The sequence below is a fragment of the Homo sapiens genome, chromosome 17 (genome assembly GCF_000001405.40).
Source record: "Homo sapiens chromosome 17, GRCh38.p14 Primary Assembly".
NCBI classification, from domain to species: domain Eukaryota; kingdom Metazoa; phylum Chordata; class Mammalia; order Primates; family Hominidae; genus Homo; species Homo sapiens.
The window spans coordinates 15,406,974-15,418,537 of NC_000017.11; the positions used below are offsets into that span (position 1 = coordinate 15,406,974).

Sequence of the window (11,564 nt, forward strand, 5' to 3'; positions counted from 1 at the left end):
GTATTGGATTAAACACAACGGATTATTAAAATTACTTTTACCTATTTTTAATTTTAAGGAAACTATTTTAAAATTACCTATGTGGTTCACGTTTTATTCTCATCAGACCGCACTGTTCTAGTGGAAGCATTTCATTTTGGGGTGCAATTCTGATGGCATTGGCTGAGATTTGGCTAGCAGTGTGGGGACGGATGGCATGAGCCTGGTGGTCACTATCCAGGACATGGGATGTGAAGTGGGAGGACTGGCTGGGGATGCTGTTGGACATGAGAGGCCACACCCCCATCCCCTGCTCCATTCACTGCCCTGAATGTGCAGCTGAATTCATTGCCCCAGTTTAAACCATGGAACGAGAAGCCATCAGCCTAGGCCCAGGTCTCTCCACTGCTACCACTGTGGTATGCCCCAGAAAACCTAGAACACGATGCTCCAAAGGAGGGGCTGAGCTGTTTATTGCTTCTCGCCCTTTAGAAATGGAAGCTAAAATTTAGGGCTGAATTTGGGGGCCTTGTCAACACAAAGGATCCTTGCTCTGTATCTTGATTTTGGTGATGGCCATATGACCCTACACAAGTATAAAATTGCACAGAACTAAATACATGTACACACACACACTCCCCTATATTATTTCCTATAACTGCATGTGAATCTACAATGATCTCATAGTTTAGGTCCATATTTGAACACCCATATTCATACCACCATTATTCGCAATAGCCAAAAGGTGGAATACCCTAAGTGTTCATCAACAATGAGTGGATAAACAAAATGTGGCATATTCATGCAATGGAATCTTATTCAGCCTTAAAAAGGAAGGAAATTCTGCCGGGCATGGCGGCTCACACCTGTAATCCCAGCACTTTGGGAGGCCGAGGCAGGCGGATCACCTGAGGTCAAGAGTTTGAGACCAGCCTGGCCAACATGGTGAAACCCCGTCTCTACTAAAAATACAAAAATTAGCCGGGCATGGTGGTGCAAGCCTGAATTCCAGCTACTCAGGAGGCTGAGACAGGAAAATTGCTTGAACTCAGGAGGTGGAGTTTGCAGTGAGCCGAGATCCCACACTGCACTCCAGCCTGGGAAACAGAATGAGACTCTGTCTCAAAAGAAAAAAAAAAGGAAGGAAATTCTGACATCCACTACAACCTGGATGAACCTTGAGGACACTATGTTAAGTGAAATAACCCAGACCCAAAAGGACAAATGCTATATGATCCCACTCATATGACACATACTGAGTAGCCAAACTCGTAGAGAAAGTAGGATGGTGGTTGCCAGGGCCTGGGGGAGAGGGGAGTGGAGAATTGTTTAGGAGCTCTGGTGTTTCAGTTTGGGAGGATAAAAAGAGTTCTATGGCTGGGTGGCAGTGACGGTTGCACAACAATATGAATGTACTTAATAATTAAGATGGCCAGGTAAGGTGGCACACACCTAGCTGTGGTCCCAGCTATTCAGGAGGCTGAGGTGGGAGGATCGCTTGAGCCCAGGATATCTAGGCTATAGTTCTGGGCTATGCCAATTGGGTGTCCGCACTAAATTCCACATCAATATGGTGACCTCTTGGGAGCAGGGGACTACCAGGTTGCCTAAGGAGGGGTGAACCCGCCCAAGTCGGAAACGGAGCAGGTCAAGTCTCCCATGCTGATCAGTACTGGGGATGCATCTGTAAATACCACTGCATTCCGCCCAGGGCAACATAGCAAGACCTCATCTCTAAAAAAATAAAAATGTTTAAAATGGTAAATTTTATGTCATGTGTATTTTACCACAATTTTTTAAATCTAAAAATTAAAAAAAAGTCAGAGCCTTTTGACCTAAAGATCGGTGCCTCTCTTTTACAGTTCACCCTGTTCAAGGAGGTGAACCAAAAAGCTATGGAGCCCATTAGAAGGAACCAGACTTCCAGCACCTGGGTAAATAACCTGTAAGGGAAGCAGGAGCAGAGAGTGGTCCTTGGTGAGGTGCTGGGTGCCGGGGAAGGTGGGGGCCAGGTTGGTGCCTGGTGCCTGTGCTGCACCCCAGTCATCCCCAGCACACTGAGTACCCAGGTGGAGCTCTTGTGCCACCCAAAGGTGAAATTAACCTGTGATTACAAAGTTAGCTTTGATCAAAATTGTTGGTAAATGTAGGGGTTAGGGAAGTGAAAGCGCTAGAAGGAGGCATGAATGCCTAGGGCTGAAAGGGGATGGAGAAGGCAAGGACAGATCCCAGGGTCAGCAAATCGAATCTACTTAGGGTGCGAGATGCGGTGGGCTTTTGGGGACATATTCTTCTATACCGTATCACCAGAGATACAAAGGTTTTTTTTGTTTGTTTGTTTGTTTGTTTGTTTTGGCAAACGAAAGGGGTTTTTATAGACCAACCCTGTTGTACCATTGAAATAGCCCCAGTTTTCCTAATTCATGGGAAGGGCATGAAGAACCCCCTGCGTAGGGCAGGGCAGGGAACCTATCTGCACTCCAAGCAGTTGGCCACCGAAAGGAGATAACTTCATGATGCTTCCATTGAGAATCTCTGAGACAGTAGTTAGGAGAAGGGAACTGCCAGGCTGAGATTTTTCCGTCATCTGATCATGACTGAGTTCAAGATAACAAGAGTCCGTTTTTGGTAATGGAGGCATTTCAAAAGAGAATGATTTTGTTTCCCTTAAGTTCACATAGGTTGGCCGGAAGCCCCCAGACTGCCTGGAATACGCATTAAAAACGCCAGCTATCTCAGCAATAATTTCCAGCCCCAGGCCATTTACTAAGACACACAGCACCTCTACCACCCTGCTCTGATGCACCGCCACGGCCATCCCGCAGACCTGTGCCAGACGGCAGCGCCGGTGCCTCTGCACCCGACCGCAGCTGAGAACGTGTGGCTGCCCGTATGATTCTGCTCAGTTCATGGTGTCTCCTCAGCCACTGTGTCCTGAGCCAAGAGATTTGAGTGTTTATGAAAACCAGCATTGTTTTCCCTCTTGGTCATGTAAGTCATGGGAAATTTTTGTGTGGTGATGCATAAATCCCAGAAAGTTTGGTTTAAAAAGTTCCCTAAAGTGTGGGTGGTTCCTCAAGTATGTCCAGATTTAGTGAATATCTTGAATCCGTAGAACAAGCCTGAGAGTTTCACCCAAATGCCATCTCCGTGAAGAGGCCCTCCAGATTCACGGACACCCTCATTAGTGAGTTCTGGCAGCTGGCCGTTAGATGTAGGACTTTTAAACTCAAATTTAAAATGAGTCTGCATGCCTGAGTGAGCAGAGTTGCTGGGAAATATTATGCTTCAAGGCAGTTCAGGCCAACTCTCCCACGATCTAAAATCCTTCTATTAAAAAAGTTATAATTCATCCCGAATAAATTAGCTGTCCTCTTTGAGAAATCTTCCTTTAATGTTTTGCTTAATCCATCAACAATTATTTCATGAGCACCTGCGCATCCAGGCTTGGCAATGCCACGGATTCTAATTCCTTCTCCTATCCTCACTCCTCATCCTCATCAAGAAGAGGATTTGCCTCTGATCCTCCACCATGACTTGGGCAGCCACTGAAAATGATGCTTTAAATAAATGTGTTGATGTGGAAAGACGGCAGGGCTTATGAAGGAGTATGTATTTCATTCCATTTTCATAAATATGTAAATAGTATGTGTTTAATCCCACTTTTATAAATATATATTCTTGGGCAGATTAATATATATTCATGTGTATATTTCAATAAAACAAAATCTAAAAGGATATATACCAAGGTGTTAGCAGTGATGATCTCTAAGTAGTGGAATTAATTTTCTTTTCTTTTAGCTTCTCTGTGCATTTTTTCTAAAGGAAACACATATTATATGTTAAATCAAAAACGGAAAATGTTGTAAAGGAAACAGTGGCATTGAGAGAAGATGGTAGTTAAGTTTGGTAGCCATTTAAAGAGGTTTACGGCTGGGTGGAGTGGCTCATGCCTGTAATCCTAGCACTTTTGGGAGGCTGAGGCAGGAGGATCACTTGAGTTCGAGACCACCCTGGTCAACACATCAAGACCCCGTCTCGACCAAAAAAAAAAAAAAAATAGCTGCACATGGTGGTGCATGCCTGTAGTCACAGCTACTCGGGAGGCTAGGGTGGGAAGATCACTTGAGCTTGGGAGGTCGAGGCTGCTGTGAGCCGTGATCACGCCACTGCACTCCAGCCTGGGTGACAGAGCGAAATATTGTCTAAAATAATATAAATAAATAAAAATAAAGAGGTTTATATGTTTCTGGTTGGGGAACTCAAAGTTTTTTCTGAGACTAAAGCCTTCTGTACAGGAACATTTTAGGCCTAAACAAAGAGAAAAGGTAAAGTTTATATTTTTCCTATGTGACCGGGACTAAAAAACATACATACATAAATATAATTTTATATTTTTAAAATGATGCCTTTGCAACCTCCTCCTTAAAATGAGGAAGGAATCTTCTCTAGTCTGGTCCAGCTGATTCCTGGCGCTGCCTTTGTTGTTCTTACTGAAACAAAGGCTGCAGAAGAGACTAGAAAAAGCAAAGAGAAGCTAAATTGATCTGCATACGGAAGAGCATAACGCTAGCAAAAACGGGGGAAATACACAAAATGGGGAAGGAAGTGGACAGAGCTGGAACAGAGAAGGGGAGGGAAAGTAGGGCAGAAGAGGTGCAGCTGGGATTTTAGGGGGGAAAAGAAGTAGAGAGGAGAGAGAGAGAGAGAGAAGGCATTGAGCAATTGCTCTGTCTTGTGGCCTTTGGAGCAGGAGGAGAGAAGGGAAGTGGAAGAAGTGGAGACCTCATTCATCAAAAGAAACTGTAGCAGAGCACGCACTTTGCCTCCTCCTCCAGAAAACCTTCAGTGAAGACAGGCATTGCTCTTGAGGGTTGGGGCTCTGGTTTGTACCTCTGGGGATGGATTAGCTGAGATGAGACTTACAGCTGAAGCAAGAAGGCCCAAATTTAGTTGGATCTGAAATTTTGTTTTGCAAAATTGGAAATCCAGTCAGCTGAGAACTCCCTAGGACTCCACCTCATCTGGCAAGATCAGGAGACAGCCCCACCCTGTCTTTGCTGAGCAGTGAAGGGCAGTCAGATGGGCCATTGGGATGGGCCCTAATCCAGTGTGATTCTACTAAATCTGGGCCTTCTTGCTTCAGCTGAAAATCTCATCTCAACTAATCCATCCCCGGAGACAAAAACCAGAGGCCCAGCCCTCAAGAGCAATGTCGTTCTTCACTGGTTTTCTGCAGCCCCTTTCCAGGGACTCCACCATCTCATCGTGAGCCCCAGCAACAGTATTTCCACGTCACTGGCATCCTGGGTGCCGGTCCAGGGTACCCATCTGGATTAGTTTCCTAAGGCTGCTGTAAAACTGACACAAGCTGGCTGGCTTTAACAACAGAAATTGGCTGTGTCACAATTCTGGAGGCTGGAAGTCCAAGATCAAGATGCTGGCAGGGCAGGTCCTTTCTAAGGACTGTGGGAAGGAGCTGTTCCGGGCCCCTGTCCGGGCGTATGGATCCATCTTCATCACGGCATGGCCTTCTCCCTGTATGTCTGTCTCTGTGTCCAAATTTCCCCTTTGTTTGAAACCAGTCACACTGGATTAAGGCCCACCCCAATGACCTCACTTTAACTTGATCACATTTATAGAGACCCTATCTCCAAATGAAGTCACCTTCTGAGGTACTGGGGGTTCGGACTTCCACGTGCCAATCTGGGGTGGAGGAGACACAATTCCACCACCATGCGCACTGACAGCCCCATGGCCGGCGCACACCCTTGGTGCCAGCCCCAGAGTGACTGGCGGTCACTCTGGGGGCCCCTCCCTTTTCTTTCACACGTGCTCACTTTGCAGCTGTCCAGGCCATTCTGCCCTCATCTGAGGAATTTGCAGAAATTCCCCAGAACTCAGGCTTGGTGATTTCACCCTTCCCTGTTTTCAGCCAGCACAGAGTTTTGTCCTAGGCTTCTGTTTCTCTGCTGAATTCAGTAGGGATTGAGGAGGGAGCAGAGACTCATGGGTGGGTTCAAACCCCTTCCTTGAAGCTGATGTTGCTTTAAATCTGCTTCCCTGGAGGGCCACAAGTGGGCCAGGACGCTGTGTATGGTCCTGCAGACAGCTTCCTGCTCCTGCCCCGTCCTGCCCTTGGACAGAATTGGGCCGTGGACTCATTTTCTTAGGGGACTCCTCCAACCCTCATGGGGACACATCTGCTCCTTAAAGCGTGGGTTCTCTGCTACAGATTCTGAGGGAACGGTCTGTAGCTGGAGAGACTGAGGAATGAAAGGTACATTCAGGCCATGCAGAGTCACTTAGCTGAAGGGTGGGGCGGAGATGGACAGCTGGACAAAGGGGCACAGAGAGGTTCGGCCTGAGGAAAGTTGAGAGGAGGGACTGCATTATCATGGAAGGACATGCTGCTTTGATCCGGATGAAGGAGCTCCCATGTCTTCTAGCCATTTAGGTGCAGCAAAAGATTTGCATTAAAACCCAAGTTACTGGAGTGAAATACTGAGGGGAATGTGGTTCATGAGAATAGCAATTTACATTTGAAAAACATTTTAAATCATGTCTTAAAGGATTCATAATTGTAGGGCTTCTTAAAACTAGTGGTTTTCATTCAGAGGCCCCAGGGCATGCTTGGATTTCCCGCACAGGCTCCTGTGGCCAACTCCAGGGAAAAAGGAGAAAGGATTGGAGCAGATGCCAGAAGCACCCCGCTCTTTCCTCTCCAGCTCACCCTGGCTTGGAGCAGAGACGTCATCTATCACTTGTTTGGTACAACAAGCTCCCACACAGGATTTTATTTGGTAAAAGATCTCCATGATTACAAAAAATAAATGCATGCATGCATACAAGAATATATACATTAATTCCACTGGTTTAGCTAATTAGTTTTCCATGCATATATTTTTATAAGATTATATACATGGAAAACTCATTTACACAGGTACTCAACTATACAGTACAGATACTCAACATACCCGTGATTTCAAGGTCGTAACTGCTGCTTGAAGGTGGACATGTGTGTCTATAGTTCATTCCTAATGAGAAAGATCATCTTCAACACAATAAGGAACACACTTTAACCTAAGAGGGGTGTCATCTCCAGAGAGGATGTTCCAGCCATTGAAAACAAGAAGTGCTCTGAAGCAGATCGAACTCTGGCTTGGATGCTCTGGCAGAGTCCTGTGTGTACCAAATTAGCATTTCAAAATGAAGCCAAGTAAGAGAACCAGCTCCTTCCTGAAAGAGGCCATGAGGGTCTAAATGTCCCACAGATCTGGCTGTCTCTGTGGGAAACCACCTCTTGGAGAAGGAAGATCTGAGCTAGCAGGGCCGTGCATCTTCCCGAAAGCTCCGTGTTCCTGCTTCAAGGCTATGCTTCCCAAGAAAGCAGATCACGGGGTTATTTTCCTGACGCTCCCCTCCTGGGGGATTAAAATTCTTATATTTTGACATGGGGGCAGTGAGCAGAGTGGCCAGAAGGACAGTCTTTGGTGGCTGCTTGGCCCCTGGCCTGGTTTGATTCTGTTCCCGAATCATTAGTGGAGAACTCCTATATTCAAAGAACGGTGGTAAGAGCTGGGAGTACAAAAGTGAGAGGGAAAAAAAAAAAAAAACCGTCTTTGCCCTTAAGGGGCTTTGGTGTATTTGCAGGAGAGAGTCTCATGAACAGATGACTGAACGTCACGTGGAAAGTGCTATCCTAAAAGTGCACTGTAGCACCAAGGAGCACCAAGGTGAGGTAGAGTCCAGTGCAGAAGCTAGAGGCGGCCTCTGGAGCAAATTCACCTCCACTGCCTCACAGGACTCTATGGATTATTGGTCTATAAATACCTCTAGCCATCACAAATGCACTTTCGCAGAAGGATTGAATTTCAGCATTAGAAGCAACCTTCCTAGCCGTTAAACCCTTCACGGATCTGATGCTGGAAGCCCCTCTAGGACACACCCACCAAATGGCTTTTTTGAGTTGCTTTTAGGACAGGATACTCACTACCATGTGGGGAGGTGCTTGGACTACCTGGGCGCCCATTGAGAGGCGTCTGGCTTTTAGAGCTTGCTGCCAGCTTTGGGGAGTGTGAAGGCTGAGGAATGACGCTCTGTGTGTCTGGCTCAGCCAGCAGGCACAGGGCTCCAAGCACGGGGATTCCAGGGCCTCAGGTTGCATCTCAAGTGGCGTAACTGAGCAGTCAGCTGCTGGCAGTCACTCTGAACACACGCTGCTCCTCAGGGCACGGCATGTGCCTCCCAAGGCAGCCAGCCCATTCCAAAGGGTCAGAGCAAAGCACACAGTGCCCTCAATAGTCTGCTCCCTTATTCAGCCCTGGCCTATGGTAACCTAAGCCTAGGCAGGGGCTGTGGGCACCGCATCCCTCAGCTCAGCTCAGCCTCTAAGTGCATTGTGCTCTGTTTCCACGTGCTGCTCACCTTGTTTTGGGGATTTCTAATCTCACTCACATCCTTCTATTTCTCTCATGGCCTGCAGGTCCCCTTTTACTATTCCAGGTGCATCAGAAGTGACGGTTCCCATGAGCATAGGGGCTGTGTCTCTAGTGAGCTTTTCCCAGTAAAGTCATATTATCCATGTCAGTTCCACCTTCAACCCCAACATTCCCTGACTTTGTCGTTCAACTCCCTTGTCCCCTACGGATCCCTCTTTTTCACAACTTCTAAGACACTTGCAGTCCACACCTTGTTAGCAAGTTCTCCATTACATGCTGCTTTGTGCTATTTTCCACTGGTTTCCTCTCTGCCGTCCTCCCTCCAGCAAGCCCCTAATAAAGAAGAATTTTGTTTCATCCACCTCTGATATTCTTTGAAGGACATGTAGGTTTCAATGAATGTTTGTCGAATGAAGAAATGAATACACAATTTGAGCCCTGCTCCCCCAAATCTTATATATAGGGGCACAGAGAAACAATAATGAACAATTACAAAGAAGCAGGAGGAGTATGTGCAGGATATGGAGGCAGCCCAGAAGTCCGACGCAGTAAGTACAGGTCCTCAGGAAGCATTAGGTTGCTGGACAAGCAAGACATACACAAGATCCATTTCTCCCACCTCTGCTTGTTATCCATTCCACACAGACACCAAGCCACCGTTCTTTCCTTACAACAGGCATCTTGGCTTGACGCAAAAATAAGAAAAAAATCTTACCATGAAAATCACGGTGACTGCTTCTGTTCAATGCTTTATAGTCTTCAGGGCATTCTGTGACCAAATCACTTGTGTATGCCAATGATGGATGAGATGCCTTCTGCAGCTCTTTCTACATCAAATCCCTTGATTTGTGGAAAAAAGCAGAGATCACAAGTGACTTTCCTGAGTCCCCGCAGGCAGGTCAACATGGGACTGGAACCAGGATCCAAGGAGCTCCACGTTATCCCACACTAAATCTCTTCTGTCCAGCTGCCTCTCCCTCCCCAGCCTCTCCTGGAGTTGGAATGAACTCTTTCCACAGTCTGCCTCAAATGATCGGATTATTGGACAGCATCTTTGCTTTCAGGAAAAATGCTATGGCAGCCACAGTGACACCCAACTTACCTAGTGATGACAAATTATATGTGGCGTTCCAAGCTGTACCTGGGGGTTTTCAGGGTTATTTGCACCTAATTATAGGCCCCCTCTAAGACTCCCACAGTTGAAGTCCATTACAGTAAAACTCTTCCCTGATTGCATTTTTTTTTTTTTTGAGACGGAGTCTTGCTCTGTTGCCCAGGCTGGAGTGCAGTGGCACAGCTTTGGCTCACTGTAACCTCCACCTCCTGGGTTCAAGTGATTCTCGTGCCTCAGCCTCCCAAGTGTCTGGGATTAGAGGTGCACGTCACCATGCCTGGCTAATTTTTGTATTTTTAGTAGAGACGGAGTTTCATCATGCAGGCCAGGCTGGTCTCAAACTCCTGATCTCAAGTCATCCACCCACCTCGGCCTCCCAAACTGCTGGGATTACAGGCGTGAGCCACTGCGCCCAGACTCTCATTGGATTTTATTAGTAATATAGTGACAGAAGGGTGCAAAGAACCATGTTTCCACCATTAAAGAAATTTGGGGTCTGGGAGCGGTGGCTCACGCCTGTAATCCCAGCACTTTGGGAGGCCGAGGCGGGCGGATCACGAGGTCAGGAGATCGAGACCATCCTGGCTAACACGGTGAAACCCCGTCTCTACTAAAAATACAAAAAAATTAGCCGGGCGTAGTGGCGGGCACCCGTAGTCCCAGCTACTTGGGAGGCTGATGCAGAAGAATGGCGTGAACCTGGGAGGCGGAGCTTGCAGTGAGCCGAGATAGCGCCACTACAGTCTGGCCTGGGCGACGGAGCGAGACCCCATCTCAAAAAAAAAGAAATTTGGGAAGGATCTTCTCTTTTAGTGTATTGATTTTAATAGGAACCAATTCCAAGATTATTCCTACGTCAGTAGAAGTATAATATTAGTAGTCATGGTGGTGAAGTGGTCTCTTCAGAAAAAAAGAAAAGAAGCTTGTAGCTCTTGCCAGTTCCTGTAGTGTAAATTCTCCCACCATGGCCAATTTTAAGCTACCAATGCAATGTCACCGTACACACACAGAGTTGGAAAGAGACTTACCTAGTTGGCTCCATGAGCCAAGACAAGTGGCTGCCACAGCCACCACCTTTACTGAGATTTTACTACGAGATAGGCACCCTTTCAGGCTCATTGAATCCTAGCACTTCACTATGATTTATCTATAACAATAGGGAAAATAAAAATAGGTGCTTACAGGTTTTGTGACGATTGATTGAAGTCATACACACTAACTGGTTGAGAGCAGTGCCTGGCAGATAGTGAGCATTCAATAAACAGAAACAACCAGAATTGCCATTATTACTGCCTGCATTGAATCTTCTCATCAGCCATGGGAAGCAGATGCCCCTCCCACAGCCGACAAGAGCCCCTCCTTGGTAAGCATGTGTGTGGCTAGAGCTTGGAACATTGTGCGTGGTCTTCTGGCCTCCTAGGGAGGGCCACGTCACAATTCATCTTTTGACCCTGCCCCCCAATTTCCCAGTCCTCCCTGAGGATGACAAAGTGGAGTGCTCTGGGAAGACAGAAGCAACAAAGGGGACCTTTTGTGACAGAGGAGAGCATTTAAAAAGAGAGACACAGAGGGCAAGGCAGGAGTGACCTCAAATGGCCAGAGCTAGAGCCCTGGGGCAGCAAAACAGGAGGCAGGTGTGGTTTAGCAGCAGCGCCCATTAGGACATCCCACAGGCGAGGCCTCCTACAGGGGTGTCTGCCCCACCTGCCCCACCCCTACAGCAGGTCCTGCAAAACCACCTGTGAGCTGTGGTTGACACTGAACTGCAGGGAGGATGCTAAGGGTGCACTGAGCTGAAAGCAGGTGACTTCCTTTCCACCTGGACAGTACACATAACTCATTCACTCAAAACAGAACCTTCCAGTTCCCCTCACCTGCCCTTCTCCATTGCAGGCACACATTAGCGTGGTCTCTGAGAAAGGAAGGAGAAGATGCCCAGCTGTGTTCGCTGGTATGTGTGTGAGGATGGAGGTGCTCATCTTGGCTTATAAGTACCAAGCTGTGGGCACCTTTCTACCCTGAAGTTTGAG

General features: G+C 47.1%; 1 pseudogene, besides 2 other annotated features; it reads left to right on the forward strand.

The window, feature by feature from the left end:
- RN7SL792P (RNA, 7SL, cytoplasmic 792, pseudogene) lies at nucleotides 1,411-1,715 on the forward strand (annotated as a pseudogene).
- Nucleotides 2,789-3,289: an enhancer, noted in NCBI's record as "H3K4me1 hESC enhancer chr17:15313079-15313579 (GRCh37/hg19 assembly coordinates)". NCBI's record gives its function as "activates a minimal SCP1, AML or CMV promoter by ChIP-STARR-seq in naive H9 embryonic stem cells {active_cell/tissue: H9 hESC(naive)}" and the evidence as "EXISTENCE:reporter gene assay evidence [ECO:0000049][PMID:30033119]".
- Nucleotides 10,699-11,200: an enhancer, noted in NCBI's record as "H3K4me1 hESC enhancer chr17:15320989-15321490 (GRCh37/hg19 assembly coordinates)". NCBI's record gives its function as "activates a minimal SCP1, AML or CMV promoter by ChIP-STARR-seq in naive H9 embryonic stem cells {active_cell/tissue: H9 hESC(naive)}" and the evidence as "EXISTENCE:reporter gene assay evidence [ECO:0000049][PMID:30033119]".